The sequence below is a fragment of the Homo sapiens genome, chromosome 3 (assembly GCF_000001405.40).
Source record: "Homo sapiens chromosome 3, GRCh38.p14 Primary Assembly".
Lineage (NCBI taxonomy): Eukaryota > Metazoa > Chordata > Mammalia > Primates > Hominidae > Homo > Homo sapiens.
This window is the reverse complement of record NC_000003.12, coordinates 179,435,804-179,461,223: the sequence shown is the minus strand read 5'-3', so window position 1 is coordinate 179,461,223 and position 25,420 is coordinate 179,435,804. Positions and strand designations below refer to the sequence as shown.

At 40.5% G+C, this 25,420-nt stretch overlaps 1 protein-coding gene and 2 pseudogenes across 5 annotated transcripts in view, besides 4 other annotated features; all 3 read left to right on the top strand.

Annotated features, from left to right (window-relative positions):
* The window catches only part of GNB4 (G protein subunit beta 4), a 131,711-nt gene that overhangs the window by 66,575 nt on the left and 39,716 nt on the right, over nucleotides 1-25,420 (top strand). The window contains exon 1 of one of the 5 annotated variants that reach the window (NM_021629.4): nucleotides 9,754-9,878. The exons of 2 other annotated variants lie outside the window; for them this stretch is intronic. The gene's annotated coding sequence lies outside the window, so the exon portion shown is untranslated. Of the gene's footprint in view, nucleotides 1-9,753; nucleotides 9,879-10,009; nucleotides 10,248-19,841; nucleotides 23,484-25,420 lie in introns of those variants that run through there. 2 more of the 5 variants (XM_006713721.3, XM_005247692.3) reach the window with 2 other exon arrangements.
* On the top strand, nucleotides 43-427 carry LOC112268451 (translation machinery-associated protein 7-like; annotated as a pseudogene).
* Nucleotides 406-607: a silencer, noted in NCBI's record as "fragment chr3:179178405-179178606 (GRCh37/hg19 assembly coordinates)". NCBI's record gives its function as "represses an EF-1alpha promoter that drives an FKBP-Casp9 reporter gene in an ReSE screen in K562 erythroleukemia cells {active_cell/tissue: K562}" and the evidence as "EXISTENCE:reporter gene assay evidence [ECO:0000049][PMID:32094911]".
* RPL29P34 (ribosomal protein L29 pseudogene 34) lies at nucleotides 8,805-8,829 on the top strand (annotated as a pseudogene).
* Nucleotides 9,584-9,733: a silencer, noted in NCBI's record as "silent region_14919". NCBI's record gives its function as "represses an Ori minimal core promoter by ATAC-STARR-seq in GM12878 lymphoblastoid cells {active_cell/tissue: GM12878}" and the evidence as "EXISTENCE:reporter gene assay evidence [ECO:0000049][PMID:35858748]".
* Nucleotides 9,774-10,183: a silencer, noted in NCBI's record as "silent region_14918". NCBI's record gives its function as "represses an Ori minimal core promoter by ATAC-STARR-seq in GM12878 lymphoblastoid cells {active_cell/tissue: GM12878}" and the evidence as "EXISTENCE:reporter gene assay evidence [ECO:0000049][PMID:35858748]".
* Nucleotides 17,867-18,018: a silencer, noted in NCBI's record as "fragment chr3:179160994-179161145 (GRCh37/hg19 assembly coordinates)". NCBI's record gives its function as "represses an EF-1alpha promoter that drives an FKBP-Casp9 reporter gene in an ReSE screen in phorbol 12-myristate 13-acetate-treated (for megakaryocytic differentiation) K562 erythroleukemia cells {active_cell/tissue: K562(+PMA)}" and the evidence as "EXISTENCE:reporter gene assay evidence [ECO:0000049][PMID:32094911]".

The window sequence follows — 25,420 nt, the reverse complement described above, 5'->3', positions numbered from 1 at the left end:
GGATTTCCAGTGGCAGGGTCTGGGGAAGGGGCGGCAGTTGCCATGTCCAGTCGCTAAGGTGGCAAGAAGCCCTTGAAACAGCCCAAGACGCAGGCCAAGGAGATGGACGAGGAAGATAAGGCTTTTAAGCAGAAACAAAAAGAGGAGCAGAAGGAACTCGAGGAGCTGAAAGTGAAGGCCAGAAAGAAGGGGCCCCTGGACACAGGTGGAATTAAGAAATCTGGCAAAAAGTAAGCTGTTCCTTGTGCCTGAGTCGATGGTGACCATTGATTTCATTCGTATTTAAACATCTGTATTTCCTGCCATAATGTCTTTTGCCACCTACAGCTGGAATGAAGTGTTGTCTTGGAGCCTGTTGTACATTTAAGAATAAGCTTTTGTAAAAATAAAAAATAAAAGATAAAAAATTATATATTACTATAGAAGAGCTTGGTGGCCATGCCTGTAATCCCAGCTACTTGGGAGGCTGAGGCAGGAGGATCGCTTGAGTCCAGGAATTTGAGTCCAGTGTGAGCAACATAGTGAGACTCTATCTTTAAAAATAAAATTAAAAAAAAGGTTGATTTAGGTATGCAAAAAGGCAAAGTTAAGAGTAAGAGTTTGGTTTTTAAAATAAAAGAAAAAAGAGCAAATCTACAGTAAGTTTTATTTTTAGAGCTGCTGCTTTATCAACTAAACCAAGATGAAACACTTATTCATAAGATGACAAACTTTTTTTTCTTCTTAAATTCATTTCTGAGTTAATACATATCTGACTCATTGTCACTAAAGAGGAACCTCCTTGCAGAGATTTGTGCAGCTGCCCTAGGGTCAGTCTCTACAGAAAATACACTTACCTTCATGCAATGCTAATAATGTAAATGTTAGTTGAAATCTGATTTTGATTATAAATAAGATTTTATAAAAATTGACAAGTGGACTAGAATTTTCTTTGCCAAAGTGAGATTTTTAACAATGAGGTTTCCAGTTTCTTGAGAAAATACAAACTCCCTAACACAGACTCATTTGCAATGAGAACGTCCATGAAACTCAGAAAGTAAGATGGAGCAGTGCAAATATCTGTAACAAGCAATAAGGCCACAATGCAGAAAAAGCAGGATTAATGTCATTCTGATTCAAAGCTTTTAAGCTTGGAAATCCATCTGACAGAAAGGATGAGAACTCAAGTTTATTTCAGTTGAAGCAAAACAGGAAGAACAATAAGTAGCTAATCCTGATAATGGGAAAAGAGGGGAAAAGATTAGCTGAGCAACTGATGTTTCCAGATTGAATGAATTGGTGAAGTCTCTGGGATTTGGGTTAAATGTTGGGGCAAATTGGGTGAGGATGGGATGGTTAAATTCACCTACTTGATTTTTGTTTATGAGATCCAACTGGTGAGACAGAGAAACTTCTGAGGCATTCATTTACTGGAGACTCTGCTCTGATTTATTTAGCAGGAAATAAAATATTCGTAATGAAACCTAAATGAAAGCAGTTGTGGAGCTGTTGGAAGGTAGGCTTCTTTTTTTTTTCTTGCTTTTTTTTTTCTTTTTTTTGTTAAGATGGAGATTTACTCTTGTTGCCCAGGCTGGAGTGCAATGGCACGATCTCGGCTCACCGCATCCTCTGCCTCCCAGGTTCAAGCGATTCTCCTGCCTCAGCCTCCCGAGTAGCTGGGATTACAGGCATGTATCACCAAGCCCGGCTAATTTTGTATTTTTAGTGCAGACAGGGTTTCACTGTGTTGCCCAGGCTGATCTCGAACTCCTGACCTCAGATAATCCGCCCACCTTGGCCTCCCAAAGTGCTGGGATTACAGGCGTGAGGCACTGCGCCCGGCCGGAAGGTAGGCTTCTAAGAGCAGGAATAGGAACACACCCAAGCATCAGGTCAGAAAGTTCTGGCTCCATATGTCTGTGCCACCATTTACCAGCTGTTTGATTGAATATAGGAGAGTCGCAGGGGCTGCAGTGTTGCTGAAGCTTCTGGAGTTTCATTTGCACAGTGAGCACACTCTTTCCTTAGGTTGTCTAGCTACTGTGGTAGCTTGGAGGACTTGAAGATGGGGGGTTGGGAAGAGTAAGGAGGACCTGACCTCCCCACGCCTACCCCTGGCACTGCCTCAAGACCTTGAGCAAGATGCTCAATTCTCTGAGCCTAAATCTCCCCTTTGCACAACGGGAATAATAATATTCCCTTACAAATCTGTTGTATGTAGTAAATGAGGTTAATTAATGTGAAGTTCTGTCTCCTAAATGCTCTATAAATGTATGTTAAATGTAAAAGATATCAAAGGGGAAATACTAAAGTAGGAAATTTGTTTAAAAGCAGATTGTTTCTGTTAAAAAATTCTCAATTCTGCACTGTTCCTAGATGAGTTTTGATATCTATTTTCAGATATAGTTAGCCTTCCATATCTTCTGCATCCTTAGATTCAATCACCCTCGGGACAAAAATATTTGAAAAAAATTAAAAATAATAATAGAACAATAAAAAGAATATAAAAATTTAAAAACACAGCCTAGCAACTATTTACACAGCATTTATATTGTATCACAGGTATTATAAGTAATTTAGAGATGATTTAAAGTATACAGGAGGATATGTGTAGGATATGCAAATACCATGCCATTTTATATCAGGTACATGAGCATCCTCAGATTTTGGTATCCGCGGGGGTCCTGGAACCAATATGCCAAGGATACAGAGGGACGAATATATTTAGCCCTAATAGTTAATAATAGTTTTTTGTTTTTGCTTTTGCCAAAGACATTTTAAAGAAGAGAAAAGCAGTTCTTGTTTAAATCATCATTACCCTGCCAATACTGTGGCTCCAATTCAAAGGGCTGTGTTTTCCCAAAGAACACTTAAAAACTGCGGACTTTATCACACTATGAGAGCAGAAGCTGGTTTCTCTCACTCCTGGTCCCTGAGGAGAGTGAATTGCTCCAGAAGCCCTTATTTGCTGCTGTCATTTGGATGGTGAAGTGGTAGAGCAACTCCCCTGCCCCTCCCCACATCACATTAAGAACTAAAATGGGCTGGGCGCGGTGGCTCACGCCTGTAATCCCAGCACTTTGGGAGACCGAGGCGGGTGGATCACGAGATCAGCAGTTCAAGACCAGCCTGGTCAATATGGTGAAACCCCGTCTGTACTGAAAATACAAAAATTACCTGAGCGTGGTGGCAGGCACCTGTAATTCCAGCTACTCAGGAGGCTGAGGCAGGAGAATTGCTTGAACCTGGGAGGCGGAGGTTGCAGTGAGCCGAGATTGCGCCACTGCACTCCAGCCTGGGTGACAGAGCAAGACTCTGTCTTTAAAAAAAAAAAAAAAAAGAACTAAAATGACAGCACAAGGAAACATGAAGCTGTAAAGGTAGCTCAGTGCTCAAATGTTACTACCTCGAAGTGAAAGGAAAATTGTAAAAACCGTCCCAAGTCTTGGAACTCATGTTCCACTTCCACCCCACGTTGACTATCTCACCTGCCAGGAAAAGATTCCACTCCTAGAAGCATTAATGTTGAACCAAGCATTTTGTTAGCCTGACTCTATTTGTTCTTAAATAGATACGAAGATACCTTTTTATCTGAGAGCACATTAACTACTTACAGAAGAATGAATGAATGGAGCTCCCAGAGACTGTCCCTTAGAGTTCTGCATTCATTTGCTCCCTCATTAATTGAAGAAAATTGGTGGGTGCATGTGCTGTGCTAAGACTGTGGCTAGAATGTGATAAGAAATGAGTGAGACCCCAGAGAGAGAGTTTGGCATAAAATAGTCATCCAATTATAAACCTCTGAATCATACAAAGTACTGTATTACATTCTAGGCACTACAAAATGAGCATAATTATACAAAGGGGAAAACCAGTGGAATGTAGCTTTAATACATCACACACTCTACCTGAACTGAATTTGCTATCATTAACAATTTCACTTGACTTTCTTAGAATTTAAATGGGCTTTTGAAAACATGATTTGGATATCCTGGTCCATTTAGAGGAAATGGCTAAAGGAAGTCTGAATTCATGAATCCTTTTTCTCTTAAATATTCCTTGGGGTAAGAAGAGGCATTCAAAATTATTCTCTTGATCTTAGAGTTTTTTTCTAAAGAGCAGGTTCTTTAATTTTTTGTTTGTTTGTTTATGATACTGAGATGGGCATTTCTACCAACAAATAAACATGTTTAGAGTAAGAGTTGGTCCGCAGGGCTCCTTTTCATCTTTTCTTACCTCCTAAGTAGAGTCTGAAGTCTGGTCTATGTGGCTTGGTATCAGTTCAAAGCAATCGTTTCCATCAGAAAACTATTTGCCAAATGGATAAACCAACTGTGGTACTTCCATACCATGGAATGCTGCGCAGCAATAAGAAAACCAAAGTGTTATGCTAAGTGAGAAAAGACAGTCTCGAAAGGTACATACTGTATGGTTCCACTTATATGATAATCTCAAAAAGACAGAACTCTAGGGTCAGAGGACAAATCAATGATTGCCAAGAGTCATGGTAGGGAAGAGAGGTGACTATAATTAAGGCTGTAAATGGATAGTATGAGGGAGATTTGGGGAGTGATGGAACTGTTCTGATTATAATGATAATTACATGAATCTGTACATGTGTTCAAAATCACAGTACTGCACACTAAAAGAAAAAAAGGTCAATTTTACAGTATAAGTTTTAAAATCAAAGCAAAGCCAAAACAAATTTGTAAGGAAAACAAGATGTTTTCCATTGTTTGAAATATCTAACAGAACATATTAGCGTAAATGAAATCAATACTCTATGGGAGGAAGGAATGGAAAGACAGAATCTTAGATTGTTGGATTCTCATAGATTATTAATCCAGGGTTAGCAAATGTGCTTGTGGCAGATTATATTTCTGAAGTTAGCTGCAATGATATGTGGCATTCAACATGTTCCTCTAGATAAGTCTATCCAGCCTGGGGAACATGGTGAAACCCCGCCTCTACAAAAATACAAAAAAATTAGCTGTATGTGGTGGCACATGCCTATAATCCCACCTACTCAGGAGGCTCGAGAATCACCTGAGGTTGCAATGAGCTGAGATTGCGCCACTGCGCTCCACCCTCAGTGACGGAGCGAGATCTTGTCTAAAAAAAAAAAAAAAAAAAAAAAGTCTATGTCCCTATTACATGAATTTGTGACTGCCTAGACCAAGTGAGGATAGTGGAAGCAACACTATGTGATTGCTGAGGCTAAGTCATAAAAATGCTATGCATTTCCTCCTTGTTCTCTTGGAACACTTGCTCTTAGAACCCAGCCACTCTAATGCAAGGAATTCCAAGTAGCCCGTGGAAAGCCCTACGTGAAAAGGAACTGAAGTTTCTGCCCACACACCTGGCTGATCTTCCAGCTAGCAGCCAGCACCAACTTGCCAGCCATGTGAGAGTGCCATCTTAATAAGAGTCAAACTATCTGAGCCAGCATGGAACAGAGAACACGTCTGCCAAGCCCTGCCCATGTTGGAAATTCATGAACAAATTAAATAATTGTTGTTGTCCTAATCCACTAAGTTTGGTGACTTGAATAGAGCAATAGATAACTAATATGTCATCTCATTTTTAAACTCATGTTTTTACTCACTTAACAGAAACAGATCAGAGTTCCTTTTGAAAATGTGGTGTTCAGAAGAGTTCTTGGGATGAAATGAAGCTTACAGGGCAAGAGTCCACGATTGATTAGTGAAGTCATCCCCGGACATAGTCTGAGAGATGGCACCAGTGTTGTCTATTTGTCAATCGTATTAGAATTCAGCACCTTCATTTTATATAATTAAGACAGAATGCTGGCAGGGTAAGATCTGCTTAAGATCACACAGACATTTAATACCAGAGCCAAAGCTCTAAATCAAGTCTTCTGATGTGCAGTTTAGTGTTTTTTCACTTTGACATGTCCCTTTCCGGGGACCTGAATTCCCTGATTTCCCTGAATTCCCTGATTCCAGGGACCTGAATGACAGGACATAGAGCAGCAGATATATGCCTGCATGCTTCTAGTTCCCTCTCCCATGCCTGTGACAGATATCATTGACCCTCTCTTAAGGTCACTGGGATGCACTTGGATGACAGATTCCAAATTCCCATGGTTAACGAGAACCTGAGTGGAAATAAACAAAAGCTATAACTGATTTGTACCACCAGTGTCAGAGGAGTACAGCAAAGGTGACTCAAAGTACAAACTGTACTTTGATATGGAAAATGCATTGTGTGTGAGCAAGAGGGAAGGCTTTAGGCATGACTACTCTGTATCAAGGATGTCTGTCTGAAACCACACATAGACTGACTTCTTACAGAATCTACTAGGGAATTGCTTCTCATGTCCTTGGGAAACTGTGCTGTAGATCCTGTTAGATAATTTCCATTTAATATTTTATAACTTATTTTGTTGTGGGTGAAATAAAATCTGTTACGGTAGTTGTGATGTTGTATGTATATAATTTGGCCTCATTTCAAACACAATAGAATTGGAATGCATACAACACATACAGGGCGGTACTGAAATATTGTACACTTTAATAGCTGTGTTCTTCACGGTGTGCTTGGCATCGTCTGAGAGCAAGGTAGGCTCAGAAAAAAATATAGACCATTTCTAGGGTAAAACTTAAAAGCAGGATATACAAACCTATGGCACTATGGATTACAGGGTAGCTCACTGAGTACAGCATTCAGATTCATCCAATGTAGGACCAAGAGCAGAGCTTCTCTGAACTTGATCATAGTGAAGCAAAACACCCTGCAAAAGAAACTGTAACTAAACTCCTAGAAAAGCAATGACCACTTTCTCCTCTCCTATGATTCTGACTAGCGTGTGGGATGGGGTGAGGTATGCAGGTTATTTGCATAAAACAAGCAGCCAAGTGCATTCACTCATTTATTTGTTCGTGGAGTACCTAGCAAATGCAAGGTGCTCTGTTAAACACTATGGCAGACACAAAGATGAAACGGACAAGGATTTTGTCTTCAAAGGTTCTCTAGTAGGGACCCCACTATGCTCTCTTAATAGAGTAGGATTTGAGAACATGGGCCTAATGAGTTAGAAATCTAATTATCAGCCAGTGGCACCCAAACAAAAGATCATGGGGCTTAATCCTCAGAAGTAGGATACATCTCTACAATTGTCTACACAAACCAGCAGGCATCAGAAATGTTAATAGCATACCCCTTCACCTTTCTCTCTGCCTCCCTTCCCAGTCTCTCTCTTTTGTTCTTCGTGGATTTCATTATCATTGGAAAAATCATGAATTGCTGGATCACTTAGATGCATTAGTGTGCTCTTATGAAATCATTCCTGATGACAAAATTCTTTTAATCAGCTCCACTTTCAGATTTTCAGTATAGGCTTGTCCTTTAACAAGTAAGTTTTTTTTTTTTTTTCCAGAACAATATGGAGCAGGTATGGCAAAACAGAAATACAATATTCTTGGAAGTAGATTCGTTTGGATAATAATTAAACTTTCCTTTTTCTGTACTTGGACTTTATTCTTCTAGTAATTTCTTTGTCTACATTAAATTTTCAGGAAGATTGACGATATCATTCTTTTAAACTCTTTAAAAGACAGTCAAATTCTTGTTACATCTTTTCAGGTTTTGTATTTTATGTTTAGGAGCTGTTCATTTATATTTCCCCTCATCTTTTCTGGAATAGACTATCTCATTGCTTCCCACTGTGTTTTCCTAAATACCAGCAACTTGTTTTTCAACAAATAATCTTAACCCAACAACCAGCTCTCAAAGCTTTATAACATCTGGTAAATGCTAGTGCACAGGAACAAGGCAGAAAAGAATCTAAAGAAAGAATATGGGGCCGGGATCGGTGGCTCACGCCTGTAATTCCAGCACTTTGGGAGGCCGAGGTGGGCGGATCACCTGAGGTCAGCAGATTGAGACCAGCCTGGTCAACACGGTGAAACCCCGTGTCTACTAAAAATACAAAAAATCAGCCGGGCGTGGTGGCTTGTGCCTGTAATCCCAGACTTGGGAGGCTGAGACACGAGAATCGCTTGAATCCTGGAGGTGGAGGTTGCAGTGAGCTGACATCACATCACTGCACAGTGACTCCGTCTCAAAACAAAAAAACAAACAAAAAAAAGAAAGAATGTGGGCTTTGGAGTTGATCCAATCTGATGTCATGCAGGGCTCTACCAATACCTTCGTGACTCCGATAAATTAATCTTACCAGGGCATCAGTTTGCTTATCTGTAAAATGGGGATAAAATTCACACTTCAAGGTAATTATGAGGATTAAGTACAGTATAAGAAAGCAGAGAGCATGGTCCGTAATAGGCACTCTTTAACAATTTCCCTTTGCTTCCTCCGAAAAACGACAATCATAAAACTCAGGATTTAATCATTAAAACATAAATAGTTACAGATGCAAAACACTCATGTCCCAACGAGCTCTTCTGACACTTTGATATGCAGAATATTTGGCATTTCTTTCTTCTTAATGGAAAAATGCTCCTAATATTAGTAAAAATGAAAATTTTGGGGGAAAAATTATCCACAGTTTCTTTATCTGTGGATAAAGAAAATAGAAACAGCTGCTTCTATTTTTGTCACGGCCTGGCTTTTATACAAAACGGTCACATTTTCCCCACAGTCACAAACAGGGTGTGTTTATCATGGCATCACCTCTTTCAAGGGACTAATAGATTTATTCCAGGTGATAGTGGGAAGCAGCTACAGAAGGAGGATTGGAAGGCTGAGGGGTTGTTAAAGTTATCTGATGATATTGTTCGAACATTTCTCCGGCACAGAAACTCCACAAAGAACTCCTCTGCAGTTTTCGCTACCCAGGGCTGTTTCTTTAAATTGTTTGACGTCAGAGAAGGAATGCTATAGCAACAGTCTGTCAAACTGGAATTAACTCAGAAGAAAAATGGGGGTGGGGAGAGGAAAAATGCTCCCAGGCGGTACTGACTTCAGAGGAAGCAAATTGGATAGATGCATTTATTTTATGACATTTTAAACATAAAACACCCAGATAAATGTGAAAAAAAAAAAAACTCGATTGAGATGCATGTGGTGTTTAACTCATGCAGAGAAGAGCGACTTGGCAGGGATATCTGGAAGGCCTTCCAGTTTTATCAATGACAATAGGAACAATAACTTCCAAGTATTGGCCATTTATTTGGAGGCAGGCTTCGTGCAAACATCACTTCATTTAATATGCTTAGCACCTTTATGAGGCAGGTATCAGTATCTTTATTTTGGCGATGACGAAACTTAGGCCCGAGACGGTACACGGTCCTACAACTAGTGATGGAAGAGCGGGGACTGCAACGCAAGGTTGTGCAACTCTGGGCTTCAGTTTACTTTCTGACATTTAGAATTCCAGAATGGGAAACCTAAATGGGGCCTTTGGGGTCTTCTAGCTCTGCCCTTCGATCCTGCTAACAAGCAAACTGGCGCCTGTCAGCGCCGGAAAGGAAACTGGCCACGCCACTTAGACGGGCGCTACTTAGCAGCGTGCCCCGGCGCCACACCAACAAGAAAACGAAACTGCCCGGGAATGAATGTTTTTCTTCTCCTTCTGGCAGGAAACGAGAGAGAAAATAGGAAGCAGAAGCTGCGCGCGGCGCCCGCTCCCTTCGCCCCCCGCCCGGGCTGCGCGCGCTCCGAGGGTCTGCGCGTCCCCGGCACGTCCCCGCCGGGCCCGCGCGCCTCGTGCCTCGCGCCTCGCGCCTCCAGCCACGTCCCCGCCCCGGCTCCGGCGCGCCGCGGAGTTGGCTGCTGGGAGGTGCGGGACTGGGTGTGGCCGGCGGCTCTGGTCTCGGCTGTGAGCTGCGCTCTCCACGCCGGCTCCGCGCTCCAGGGGCTGCTGAGCGCCCAGCGGACACCGGCAGCGCGCGGTCGACGCGGGCCTGAGCTCCCTCCAGGTAGGCGGCGAGCTCGCGAGCGGCGGCTCGTCGGTGCGCCCCGCGAAGCGATCCCGGGCTTCTCGCAGGGACGTGGGGCGCCGCGAGCCACCCCTGCGGAACGGGGCCCGGGTGACGGCGCGGGGCGGGGCGGGTCTCCCCGGGCTCGGGCGGCCGACGCTGCCCGGGAGGGACGAGGAGGGCGCGCCTGTGTCGCGCCCAGCTGCCACGCGGGAACTGGCCCCACGACCGCCGGCGCAGGCACTTCCCGGGCGGTCCAGACCGCTCGCCCCGGGGAGCGAGGAACGGTCGGCGGTCCAAGTCCTGCAGACCCCCCTGGTTTCTCGTCACTCCCCGAGGCCTCCTTCCAGGAACTCAGAGCACGAGCCCGTGCGTGCCCCCAAAATAACGGGTATTCGGGACTGCCCAGCAGGGCTGTTGGGTGGAGAGTGCTTGGAAGACTCATAAAAGTTCTACGCTGAGTCCAAAATTAGTCCAATGGTTTTGTTTCAGATTTATTTTGGAAATGATATAATGTCCAGAGTTTGGGGATGGGAGGGGATTGATGAATTTTGAATACTTGTGAGTTCAGTACAATAAAAAGTGTTTTGCTTTTCTCTCCACCTTTTTCTGCTTCAGAACACAGATGATTGCCATATACTTTGATATGTATTGCTATTCGCTAAGGGAACGTTGAATTTTCAAAAGTTTGAAACCAGGCTTTCATTTGTTTATACAAGCAATACTTTGTTATTTTTCGTCTCCTTGTGTTCCCTTTTCTCCCACTCCTTCCCTTTCTCTTTCCATAAAGGATAAGGATGCATCTTTCTCCCTCTCAGCCACCGACAAAGTAGCTTGGCGTGTGGCTTAGCGGGAAGTTTTCTTAAAACGTTCAAAATTTAATTGTTGATTAGAACTTTTATTATGAGTCCGTCTCAGTGTTGCAAACAGAGTTTATGACCATTAAGTACATCTTCTAGGACAGAGACAGAACACACGCTACTTAATTTAAGATGGGAGGGAAGTTATTTCTAGTCGGAGAGGAGGACGGCTGATTAGGTGCATTCAAAATTGTGTGCTTCGAGTCTCTGCCATTGTTCATTTTAATACTCTTCAGTTTGGGGCTTTTGGTTTACTACTGATCCTAGGCTCTGAAAATTTACTGTATATTTCAGTATGTGGCTTAAAGACATTTTAAGATTTTCCATGTTGCATTTTGGTTTGTAGATGAATTTGAAACTGAAATAGAAACTTTTAAAATATCATCTTATTGAACGTTGTCAACCCTCTGTATATACATTTATAAAACTGATTGATACAGCTTGTGATATTTTAGGTTGGTTCAACTCTTTGTGGGCCCATAAACATTATTTAGGAAGTTATTCCGAGTCTTTGGCCTTTGTTAACCTGTAGAATTGTTTCTTTTAAACAATTGGCATGTAAGTATGTCAGCACATACTTTTACACTTTAAAAATAGACTCTGGGGCAATTTGAAAATTAAGAATTGGAACTAAGTGTTGGACATTCTTCTGGCCTTACCAAATACTGCCTGAGATGGTGTGATTTCTCTTAGGCATGTTATTGAAGTCAGCTGGCTGTATCATCAGTTTCTTTACCTTGCTGACTATTTTAATCTGCGTCTGTTATGGACTTATTTATTAAAATATCTCTTCTGGGCTGGGGCAGTGCTGTAAGTTATTCTACTTATATCTCACAGTAACACCATTATCTACTTCCACAGGTAAGGAAATTGTCTGTGAGGTTTTAAGTAACTTGGCAGTGGTCATGTAGGTGTTAGGTAACTCAACTGGGATTCGAAGCAAGACCCCTCTGTTTCCAAAGTCCATGTTCTTTCCCCTGAGCCATATTAACTTAGTTCGAGGGCATGAGGAGTGACCCTCAATTACTCATTAGCATGTGTGTAAAATATCCAAGACATGCCAGAAGCATGTTTGTTTTTCCAGCATGATCATTATTGTCTGTCCCATGTTTTTATACAGCTTCTCACATCAGCCATTCTCTTCTCACCACTCTACTCCTAGTTAAATGTCTTGTTCCAAGTTCAAAACCTCCCTTTTGCCAGGGCACAGTGTATCCTATTGATATTAATAGGTAGTGATGGCTTAATTATCTTGATAAAACAGTAACTCCATTTTAATGTGGGTTCTCTAGAGATAGAGTTATAACTAATTTGGAAGGTTACAAACAGGATTGCGGTCAATTTTGGGATATGAGAACCCTTTGATATCCCTCAAATTAAACTAGAGGATATTTTGATGGATATTTCCCTCTGCAATTTATCATACTCTCTCCTGCACCTTCAATTTGTCAGTTACTACAGAATCATTTACATTATTGTACAGTCTGCCATTTTAAAATAAAATGGTTTCTTGATCCAGTGTTCTGCTTCAGTGACTGCCTCATTTCTTTTTATTTATTTATTTTTATAAATAGAAGCGGGATCTCGCTGTGTTGCCCAGGCTGGTCTTGAACTCTTGGGCTCAAGCAGTCCACCCACCTCAGCCTCCCAAAGTGTTAGGATTACAGGCGTGAGCCACGGCGTCTGGCCCTGCCTCATTTCTCTACCTCACCTTGAGGAAGCGTAGTTTTTTGACAGAACAAAAAATAAATACAGGAGTGAGAACCAGAAACTAATTAGTTACCTACAGGCACCGGGTAGGAACTGAGTAAATGGGAACAACAGAAGGAATGGCCTTGTTCTGAATGTACTTTTTTGCATAGTTTTGAGTTTTGGAAACTGTTAGTCTTTTTTATGTTCAAAAATAAAATTAACAAGATGTGGAGAGTGGGACTCCAAAACAATACAAACAGCAACAACAAACCGTGTATTTATGTGAATAATATAAACTCCCAGAAGAAAAAAAAAAAAACCAAGTAAGTTTTGAGCACAGGATTAAAGATTAAAGAACTGAAAAAATAATCTTGAACTCTGTGTAGTAGGCTATTATTTGTATGGTAGAGGTGTAGCAATTCTGAAACTATTTTGTGTGCATTATAGGATTGAGCAAATGAGTAAATTCATTGATATTTTGGGAACTAGGGTTTCCAACGTGGAAGAAGAGAAATGAAAACATGAAACAGGCCAGGCGCGGTGGCTCACACCTGTAATCCCAGCACTGGGAGAAATGAAAAGTTAAAAATAAAACTTCAAACAATAACAATGCAGCTTTGCTTCAAAAAGAAAATCTTTGAAGGGACTCCATGTAGGCTGTCTCTACTCCTTATCTGCCATCTTCTTCTGAACCCGCTTCAGAGACACATTATCCCTCCTACTCCATGAAACAATTCTTCTCCAGGTCACCAGGGATGTCAGTCTTGCCAAACTGGATCTTCAGCCACATTTGACACAGGCAACAGATAACTCCTTCCCTATCAAAATGTCGTTTCCCCTTGGCTTCTGGGACACCGCTCTTTCTGATTTTCATCCTGCCTCATTGGCTACAGTTTCTCATTCTTCTCCATCTCAGTCAATGGTACCACCATCCACCAGTTGCTGAGGCTAAAAATTCTAATTCCCCATTTCACTCATTCTAAATCTATTCCTTCAACAGCAAGTATTATGGGCTCTACCTTCAAAATCACTGCAGATTGGACCATCTTTTTTAAAAAGTTAATTTGACCATTCCTATCACCTGCACTGCCACCACCACCACCCTGGTGTCAAACTGTATTCTTCCCTGGCCTGGATGACTGCAGGAGCCCCCCAACTGGTTTGTCAGCTTCCACTCTCTGTCTCCCACCAGCCAGCATGAACTTTAAAAGAGGTAAATCAAAGCAGGTTATATCTCAGTCGTCAGAACCCATTATTGTTAGATAAAATAAAAACGTTTTAGCCAGGCGTGGTGGTGCATATCTGTGGTCTCAGCTACATGGGAGTCTGAGGCGGGAGGATTGCTTGAGTCCAGGAGGTCAAAGTTGCAGTGAGCCATGTTTGTGCCTGGGCAATAGAGTGAGACCCCATCTGAAAAAAAATCAGGATTTTTTTTTTTTTTTTTTTTAATACCATGATCAAGAGACGGTGACTGGGCTCTGGCACACCCTTCTAGTCTCATCTGCTGCTCTCTGCCCTGCTCACTCTCTTCCAGCCTCGCCATCGTCACTGCTGTAGGTCCAGCATGTCAGGTTAGTTTCTGCCTGGGCCTTTGCTTGCTGTTCTGCCTGTAATGCTTTCTCCCAATGAAGACATAGCTCATCCTCTCATTTCATTCAGTCCTTACTTAATTTATTTGAAAATAGCCTTCCTCGTCACCCTCTAACCTCTTGAAGTTCTTGCAGTTTTTTTCTTGCATACGACTTATCTGTACTTAAAATTATGTTATTGATGTGCTGTATTATTTATCTCCTAGACAGATACAGAACAAAGCACTGTGGCAATAGGAAGTTTTGTTTTGTTTACTACCGAATCTCTAGAGCCTAGAATATGTTTGGCACATGGTCGGGACTCAGATATTTGTTGAATGAAGGAATGAATGCATGAATTAATATTTGTTGTATCTTAGCTAATGCCGTTTCAAATGGAGAAGACGGTTTCCAGAGAATCTTACAGCGTTAGTGCTACGTAAGGTGTTTGGTGATGCTGCTACAGCTTCTCTGAAAGCTAACAAGTTACCAACTTTGAGTGTTTTCACGTTATCACCTTTCTTTTGTATGCCCTCTGGTGGAGTGATGATAATAAGCGGCAAGTGAGTAGAATAGGTCAAGAAGAAACTAAAATACAAGAACCTAGATCACAAACTGGATAATTAACTTAAAAAAAATAGATTTGAAAATTTTAACTTTAGTTAAGCCTCCTGAATAATTACAATACGATTAGAAAGAATGAAAAGAAAATGAGCCACAGATTTGAAGAGAGATCTGGCTTAGGATGAAAAAATAACCTATTGAGCACACCCAAAATGTTTGGATCTCTTAAAAGAATTCCTGCTTAAATATACTTCTGTCCCTTGAAGTATTTTAATATTTTTCCATCTTTAGTTCAAAGACCTCTTTCTCTCAACTGTAGTAATAATTTCAGTGAACCTTTATTGACTACCATGTGTCGGTTAACGTACACAAGTGGTGAAGCCAGTGTTCAAACTCCAGCAGTGGAGGACCAGAGTCAGTGCCCTAAATCTTCATGCTTCACTACCACCTTTGTGCCAAGGTCGTGTGGATGGTACAGGGACCGGAGAATTTCCTTTGGAGCAATAGTTATGGACAGAAAAATGCTTGGTAAGTTCACAGTGTGTGTTCCTCAGTTCCATTTTCCAGTATGTTTATAGAGAGCCTTTTCTTCCAGAATTGCTGAAAGATGTGTTATTTTATCTTTTTTGAAATAGAAATCACATGAAATGTTTCTACACTCAGATGCTACTGACTTGCTGAAATAATATAAAGTTTCTCTTAGTGTCTATATTTCATATTTATGGCAGTAACAGCTTAATTGTTCCTCCACTTTTGGCTTTAGCAGGGTTTGTTCATATACTGTGTAGTTATTACAAAAGAAATGTAGTATACCTTACTGGGTAAGGACAAACTCCCACTGAGATGCTTGTCTTACTTGCAGTAGGAACCCTCTAAAAAAGAATTCGCTCAGAAGATATCATTATTCTTAGTATCTCTGCAAGTCAGAGCGCTGTCTTCTTAATAGCTGCATAATATTTCACTGTATGAATGCATCATAACTACTCTCCTATTTATATTTTTAATTTGTTGTCATATATACAATTGGTTAATGAATATCCTTAAACATTAATTCTTACCTATTATGCAAAAGTGTTGGCCAGTTGCAGTGGCTCATGCCTGTAATCCCAGTACTTTGGGAGGCTGAGGCAGGCAGATTGCTTGAGCCTAGGAGTTTAAGACCAGCCTGGGCAACATGGTGAAACCCCATCTCTACAAAAAAATACAAAAATTAGCCAAGCGTGGTGGTGTACGCCTGTAGTTCCAGCTACTCGGAAGGCTAGGGTAGGAAGATTGATTGAGCGCAAGAGGCAGAGGTTGCAGTGAACTATGATCATGCCACTGCACTCCAGCCTGGGTGACAGAGGAGACCCTGTCTTAAAAAAAGAAAGAAAGGAAAAAAAAGTATAAAGTACTCTTTTTAGAGGCCTTACTGTTTCTACTCTCTTACTTTTAGCTTGTCATGAATTTTCAGCTGTGGAGAAATTAATGAAATCTACTTTCTCTATGGAACAGATTCTATCAATTTCTCTATAGCTGAAGAAAGAGAGAATACTACTTTGGGAGGGACAAGATGAGGACAATGGCCTCTATGCTCAAAGAACTAATAATTGCTAGGCTCTTATATAGGATTTTTAATTTTTTTTTTTAATGGCAACACTTAGCAATGGCTTGACTCATTTTTTTTCTCCTTATTTTTATATTCAGTTTTTCAACTAAACACCTTTACCCAGAGATTGTTTAAAATATGAAAATTTGTCATTAACTACTTGGTAAGTGAAATTAAAAACCCAGTAAGGCAGCTTAAGCTGAATGAGGTTTTATGTCTAATTGGCATGTGACGTAAATTATATACATTATGTTTAGGATAGTTAAAAAGGCTTACCGTGGCTAGTTTTTATAAGGAAATAATTTAAGACATTCTAGAATTCTGCAAATTAAATTATATATGTATGCATGTATATACTTTTTGAGACAGAGTCTCTCTCTGTCACACAGACTGGAGTGCAGTGGTACGATCATGGCTTACTACAGCCTTGACTTCCCAGGCTCAAGCAATCCTCACATCTCAGCCTCTTAAGTATCTGGGACTATAGGTGCATGCCACCGTGCCGATGAAACTGTGTATTTAAATGGAACATGGTAGGCAGTTAAGTACTTGAGGAAATTGAAATTTGTCAACAAGGGATCTTAGTTATCTGTATTACGTATTAAAAGGGCTCTAGGGAAGCGGTTGAGAGGTTAAAAAAAAAAAAAAAACACCCTGAAAAATGTGATCTCCTTGCCGTGTGGTCTAAAAAACAAAAAACTTAGTAATTAAAAATTTTAAACTTAGATATTAGTTTTCATGGTTTGTGTTAACCTTACTATGGGAATTAAAATTTATGAACAGGAGATTTCATTTGGTTCATTAATTATTGAATATATCACCAGGGAAACTCTTTGGGGGGAAAAAAATGAAAAAACCACAGACTCCTCCTGGCTGTAAGACATAAAGAAAATAGAGATAGGTTAGTATGTAAATTTCATTCATGTTTATGTGTTGACTCACCTTTTAATGCAAAAAAATCTTTGCAAAGGTTTTAGAAATGATGAGACAGATTATGAGAGGATGCTGAAGAATCGGGGGGATTGTGTGTTCCCTTAAGGCATTGAAGAGCAGTCTTGGTATATGTGATAGAGAGTGTTGTAGGATAAAAACGTGAATAGGAAAATCAGCAGTAGAACAAAACTAAATGGGACTAAATGTAACTAAAAATGAATATTCTATTCGAACTGCATGGTAGAGATAAGACCCTTTGAATGATAGATTCCGAGAACATTAGTGGTGGGGTAGAGAATTGGGGATGGGATAGAATCCCAAATAACTTCAGTTATTAATTAGCTGCTAATCTAAACCTGAGACAGTAATTGTATAGTATTTTTGTAAATGAAGTGTCATCCTGAGGTAGCAGAGATGGATATCTGCTCATCTCAGAACAGTATCACCATAAGTACACTTGCTTGTTAACTAAAACCTCTAAAATTTTATCTTATAGGTAGGCATTATGGCTTTGTTAAGAAAAATGAAATCTACAGTGAAAGACACTGGATGCTGTATTCTATTTCTACTTATTGGTAACTTTAAGATATTTTACCTGTTTTTTTGAGACGTCTCACTCAGTCACCCAGGCTGGAGTACAGTGGTGAGATCTCGGCTCACTGCAACCTCTTTCTCCCAGGCTCAAAAGATTCTCATGCCTCAGCCTCGCAAGTAGCTGGCATTACAGGCATGCACCACCACACCTGGCTAATTTTTGTATTTTTAGTAGAGATGGGGTTTCACCATGTTGGCCAGGCTGGTCTCGAACTCCTGACCTCAGGTGATCCAACTGCCTCAGCCTCTCAAAGTGCTGGGATTACAGGCATGAGCCACTGTGCCCAGCCATAAGATATTTTACTTTTATTAAAGCTGTGAACATAAGAAATTGTAGCTACTTTTCCGTGACTATGGTAATTGCACATGTTAACATTTTGTCCTATGAAGCGGAGTTAGCAAATAAGCTAGATGGTAATGCTTGTGAGGCACTCATAAACATTTGTTGGATGAAATTCTGATATCCCCAGTTGTCATATTCTAACCCTTTAATGGTGGGATTGATTTTTAAAATTTTTGTATGTAACCAAAAATAATATATAACCAAGTCTGGTAAATTTAAAGGGTTGTTTCTGGTAAAACAAAAGCAAGTTATGTGACTTTAAGTGATACAAAACTGCCGGGTATGGTGGATCACACCTTTCATCCCAGCTACTCAGGAGGCTGAGATGGGAAGACAGTCTGAGCTCAGGATGTCAAGACAGGCCTAGGCAACATAGTAAGGACCCCACCTCTAAAATTTTTTTTTTTTAATTAGCTTGGCATGGTGGTGCATACCTGTAGTTCCAGCAACTTGGTAGGCTGAGGTCGGAGATCGTTTGAGCCACTGGGTTCAAGGCTGCAGTGGTGAGCAAGGATGGCAGTGCCACTGTGCTTTAACCTGGGCGACAGAACAAGACCCCATCTCTTAAAAAAAAAAGTGACATAGGACTGTGGCTTGGTAACACAGAGATAACTACATGTGGTCGTATAAAAAAAAATCCAAGAGATAATAATGCTTGAGTGGGTCATGTAAGAAAAGACAGGCTAAGTGTATGATTTTAAATTTACATAATCATAATTTATGTTTCTAATGTTTAGTTCACAAAATCTTAGAGTACTAAAACCAAGAGGCTCCTCTTAGAGAAGGTAGTTTTAGGACTAAGTAAAAGGAAATGCCCTGCTATTTTACAGAGCTGACGTAAATTGACAGAACTTGTTACTTTTAAGAAGTAGTACAGGTGAAAATATAAGCATACTAAAAATGGGTTCAATGAATTCATGGACAATAGTTTCAAAACGTATTGTGTAAAATTTAAGAGAAATCCTTAGTATGTTGAGTTCAGCCACATTCTCATAAACATTTGGTTTCAATGACGTAATACTTTAAATACAAGTTCTGTCATAGCATTTACACTGTAATATGATTATAGTGATGAGCCCCATAACGATATTTCAGTCGGCCGGGCTTGGTGGCTCACGCCTGTAATCCCAGCACTTTGGGAGGCCGAGACATGTGGATCACCTGAGGTCAGGAGTTTGAGATCAGCCTGACCAACATGGTGAAACCCTGTCTTTACTAAAATACAAAAATTAGCCAGGCGTGGTGGCGGGCACCTGTAATCTCAGCTACTCGGAAGGCTGAGGCAGGAGAATTGCTTGAACCCAGGAGGCGGAGTTTGCAGTGAGCCGAGATCGTGTGCCACTGCACTCCAGCCTGGGCAACAAGAGTGAAACTCCGTCTCAAAAAAATGATGTTTCAGTCAGTGAGTTGACTGTATATAGGGTGATGGTCCCAATTTTTTTTTTTTTTTTTGAGATGGAGTCTCACTCTATCACCCAGTCTGGAGTGCAGTAGTGTGATTTTGGCTCACTGCAACCTCTGCCTCCCGGGTTCAAACGATTCTCCTGCCTCAGTCTCCCAAGTAGCTGGGATTACAGGCGCCGGCCACCCAGCCTGGCTAATTTTTGTTTGTTTGTTTGTTTTTGTATTTTTAGTAAACACAGGGTTTCACCATGTTGGCCAGGCTGGTCTTGAACTCCTGACCTCAGGTGGTCCACCTGCCTTGGCCTCCAAAATTGCTAGAATTACAGGCATGAGCCACCATGCCTGGCTTTACCATGTTTTTACTGTCTTTTCTATATTTAGATATGTTTAGATACACAAATATTTACCATGGTGTTAAAATTGCCTGCAGTGTTGAGTATGCAGTACGGGTTAGTAGCCCAGGAGCAATAGGCTATATGCTATAGAGCCTAGGTGTATGGTAGGCAATACCATCTAGGTGTGTGTAAGGACACCCTATGATGTTTGCACAGTGATGAAATTGCCTAAGGACGTGTTTCTCAGAGCATATTCCCATCGTTAAGTGATGCATGGCTGTATAGTTACTTACCTGTTTTTCCAATGGATGAATGTTTCTGATGGGGTGGGTTTCTGTGCCTAGCACAGGGTAGGTGTCAAATACGTGTTTGTTGAGTGGAAGAAGGAATCACATGATGATTTAGATTGACAGTAGGTCAAAATAATACTCATTTCTTATGTACTTTTAGGAGTATAGGTGAAAATAATAGGAACAATGCAGAAGAAAATCCTTTTGAAAACCTTCCCAAAATGTTGACTGGAAAAGAGTTTAAACTTACTCATTTCAAGCTGCTATTGTATCTCTCTCTCTCTCTCTCTCTCTATCTATCTATATATATAGGAATTTTTAAAAAATACACCGAAAGAATAGAAACATATCAACACTATACTTAACACATGTACTCTGCATTAGGTTTTAATTCCATGAATTCCTATTCATTTTTTATTTTTATGCATGAAAGTTTACTGGGTAATGGAATTTACCATCCCTGTTTAGATTCTGCATTGATGACATATCCTGTTCAATGTCATAACCCCTAATTATTAACCGTGTTCACCCCAAATGGATCCATTTATGATACATGGAGAAATAACTTGTTTTTCTTCTTGGTCAATTTGTGCCTATATCGACTGATGACATTGTGCCTTGTTCAGAAAACGTAATCACAAGTTCTTGAAAAAAATAATAAAACATGTAAAAGTCAGCTGGCATTTCAGAATCTAAGTCCCTTTTTAATTCCCAAAATACATGAAACACTATTTTCTTGGTATTTTCTCATGTACTTTGCTACTTTAACAAAGATTAATTCATTTAAGTCTTAATTTTTTAAAAAATGTCTCAAGTGTCTCTTTTTTCAGGTAGCATGAATATTTCAAGATAAAAGAAGACAGCTTGGTTCCTAACTAAGCCTGTCCTTCCTGACCTGGGTATTTATTTCATTCTTATATTTCTTCAAGAGTAAAGTAAGACCAAAGGAGGTATAGCTGCCCCCCAAAAATCATAGTTCTGTTTGAGGAATTGTTTCCCTCAAGGAAAGAGAAGATAACACCTGAAATATGTCAAGGAATTAATTGTTAATGATTTCTGTGTACAAATATTTTAAGTTGGGAGTGTTGAGAAAATTGCAATTTATATAGGAACTTCTTTGCCCTTTCTGAAGCCATTCTTTAGAAAAAAATTCAAAATCTTATCACAGTTCACATATGGGAAGTTATTTTGCTTTAAAATGAATTAAGAACAAGAATAATGTTTTAAAATCTATATTCCTTTTAATGTGTAAATCAAAGAAAATATCTGAGGCAAGTCTCAATTATTTCGTGAGGTTTATTTGCCAAAGTTAAGGATATGTGCCTGGGAGGCAGGTCTATGCCTTTCTCTGAAGATGATTTTGAGGGCTTCAGTATTTAAAGGAGAAAGGGCAGGATATTGGGAAATACACAATTTTCATATGAGAAATCGGTAGGGGAAAACATTCATGCCTTTGTCTGAATCAGCGAATCTGTATTTTTACATAAGACAACATAGACAAATACAGCAGAAGAAGCAGTGAGATATACATTTGTCTCAGGTGAGTGGAGGGATGATTTTGAGTCCTGTCCTATGTCCCCACGCCTGTGAAGATAAGCTATCAATTCACATTGCCTTGGTGACCTTCAACAGAACTGCTTTAGGGTAGAGATCTCGGGGCCCACAAGGATTTCTTCAGGGGCCAAGTGTGAGGGAGGTGTGTAGCTTTTCATCTTTGTAGCCATCTTATCTAGGAACCATAATGGGAGGCAGGTTTGCATGACCCAGCTTGACTTTTCCTTTAGGCTTAGTGAGTCTGGGGTTCCAAGATTTATTTTCCTTTCACAGATGTCTTTATGTGTAAGGATTTAGATGTTTTATCTGATCAGGAAGATTATAAAAGTGCCAGTTTAGTGATTTTTAGGAAGTGATTACTGCATGAACACACGTTCTTGAACTTTCCTCCAATCACACGATGTTAAACTGCTTGTGTAAATAAGAGCTTAGACCAGTGGATCTCAAACTCTAGAGAGCTTCAGACTCACCGTGAAGACTTGCTAAAACACAGATTGCTGGGCTCTACCCTCAAGGTTTCCGAGTCTGTAGTCCTGGGAAGGGATTTATAAATTTGCATTTCTAACAGGTTTCTACGTGATGCTGATGCTGCTGGTCCCCACACTCTGAGAACCACAGATTGAAACTGTTTGGTTAAATTAGTGGTTATCAACCCTGGTTCCGCCCTTACACACTTGAAGAGTCAAGGCCTTAGGGTGGGGGATGGGCCACAGAGTCAGGTGCTGCTAATGAGGTGGGGCAAGTATTTAAATCTTCAGGATGTGGATGTAGTTTGAGAAAGCCCTTCAAATAACTGGTTGTTTTCTTCTATTCTCTCTCCCCCTTTGAAACCACTCTCCTCTACCCCTCAATAGGAGAGTCCTGGTGCAAATGAAACAGTGCTCATGGATTGTTTTAGTCCTCTCCCAGAAAATAAAACACAGCCTTTACCAACAGTTGCCCCAATGCTTCTTAAGGAGTTCAGTAGAGGAAGAAGTAGTTAAATTGCAGCATAAGGCCAAGAAAGGCCTTCCTTCTGGTCATTTCTTTTTCCATTTTTGTTTAGAGCACTGTACTATTAGATCTGTCAATTAATCACTGTAGATATTAGCCTGAGTAGTGTTCATGGCTATAGCTTCTTCATATATTTCCCTTGCTGGGCCAAATTGACTTAAATTTCCCAAGACATTAAAAAATGTGTATTATTTAATTCCCAAAACAATCCCATAGGGGTAGAGATCCCCACTGCACAGATGAAGGAATGGAGACTTAGAGTAGTTAAAGAATTTCCGGGGTCACACTGTAAGTAGTCATCTCTGGCTCCATTAGGTTGTGTGAACTTGGCTAAGGTCCATAACCTCCATGTGTAAAGTTTCCTCGTCTGTGGAATGAGAATGATACTGGTACCTACCTTCTGAGGTTGTTTTGAGAACTAAATAAAGAGTTACTACACAGAGTTGTGTACATACACGTAATAAATGCTCAGTAAATGTTATCTCTTAGTTGGCTAACTCCTAGTTGGTACTTTTTAAGTTCGGGGTAATCCTGCCTTTTCTTTTTCTTTTTTTTTGAGATGAGGTCTCACTCTGTCGCCCAGGCTAGAGTGCAGTGGCACAATCGTAGCTCACTGCAGCCTCGACCTCCAGGGCTCGAGTGATCTTCCTGCCTCGACCTCCCAAAGCACTGGGATTGCAGGCAAATGCCACCACACCTGGGTAATTTTTTAATTTTTTTTTTTGTAGAGATGGATACCTGCCATGTAGCCCAGGCTGGTCTTGAACTCCTGGCCTCAAGTGATCTGCCCACCTCAGCCTCCCAAAGTGCTGGGATTATGGGCATGAGCCACTGCGCCTGGCCTATCCTGCCTTTGTGCCAGGCAGTCCTCCTCATGTGTATTACAGGTCAGTCTCTTAACAATTTAGAAATACCAAATACTCTTGAAAACTACAGGTTTTTTTTTCCTTTTCACAAATAATTTAGTGGCAAAACCTTATATGACCTGAACTCATTTGGTGGCACAGTGTGACCTGAACTATAACAACATGAAGCTATTGCTTAGTCTGTTTTTGTTTTTTTTTTGAGATAGACTTGCTCTTTTGCCAGTCAGGAGTGCAGTTGTGCAATCTTCCGCTCACTGCAACCTACGCCTCCCATGTTCAAGCGATTCTTATGCCTCAGCTTCCCAAGTAGCTGGGACTACAGGCTCACACCACCATGCCCGGCTGATTTTTGTATTTTTAGTAGAGATGGGGTTTCACCATGTTGGCCAGGCTGGTCTCGAACTCCTGGCCTCAAGTGATCCGCCTGCCTCGGCCTCCCAAAGTGCTGGGGTTATAGGTTCTTAGTCTCTTTTTTTCCTACCTCATATGAACATGCTTTACATTTTGCTTCAGAAATTTTAATTCTTGACTCTGTGGGTGCTGCTCTGGGGTCTGGTTTTGGTGTTATGCCAATACAATGAATGTACCTTTCTAAAACCTGGAAACTTCCAAATTCTGAAATATATCTGGCCCTAGGGTTTAGGGTAATGGATTATGGGCCTGTGTGTGTGTATTTTTATGTCTGTCTTCCCTTTTAGACTGTAAACTCCTTGAGACCTGGGCCTAAGTTTTATTCATATGTAACCCCAGTTCCTGGCACATTCAGTAAATATTTGATGAGAGAATAAACCCTACCAGGACATAACAGTTAGGTGAAGGGAAATAGACTGGAGAGCAGTGCCTTATTTATTTCCTGGAACACAAAACAGCCTACCTTCAGTTCACAAGGGGTTGAATTGTTTTACTTTAAGGGTACTGAAAAATGCTCAATATAATGAGTAACTTGGTAGCAAAACAAAAAACAAGATAAAAAACCAAAAGTTAATGCCGTATGCTACAATTTCAGCATCTGCAACTTCTGTTTTCCTCTCTTATCCACTTGCCCCATGCAGCTGTACGGTTTTGACTAACTTCCTGAGAAAGAAAGCCACGTGGAGATGTCTTTGTATGGAACACTTGGGGTGGGTGGGCATGTGTGTTTTAAAATTTCTTAGTTAAAAAAAAATCATAAAAGCTTTAAATATTGTACCTGATTCATTATGGTTGTTAAAAATTATGGAGTGTAAGAAATATAAATTTGTATTGCAAAAAGAAAAGAATACTAGAAAATTTACACCAAATTAAAAATTATGAATAGACTTTTAGAGAAGCAAAAGTAGTTTATACTTACATTTTTATTTTATTTTATTTTATTTCATTTTATTTTATTTTGAGATGGAGTTTCACTCTCATTGCCCAGGCGGGAGTGCAATGGCATGATCTCGGCTCACCGCAACCTCTGCCTCCTGGATTCAAGCGATTCTCCTGCCTCAGCCTCTGGAGTAGCTGGGATTATAGGCATGCGCCTGGCTAATTTTGTATTTTTAGTAGAGACAGGGTTTCTCCATGTTGGTCAGGCTGGTCTCGAACTCCCTGCCTCAGGCGATCTACCTGCCTTGGCCTCCCAAAGTGCTGGGATTACTGGTGTGAGCCACTGCAGATCCGGCCTATCCTTACATTTTTAAAGTGCAATTTAAAATAACATTTTTTATGGCTTATATGAGCTTTCATGATTGGTATGAAACTTAGTAGCTAAGAAATACTTGTATTTTTTTGTCTTGCACAGATTAAAATGTGTTCACTAACACAGCAGTATAATTGTACAGCCTGCATAATGCCTTGCTTCAGTAAAAGTTCTGTGGACATTCTAAGACATGGAGTGAGAAGGCCATTCGAATTATGCAAGTGTATTTTTTTCCATTTTATTTAACAAATTGGCTTGGATACAGTGGCTCATTAGTATCTTTTGATATTTGTAA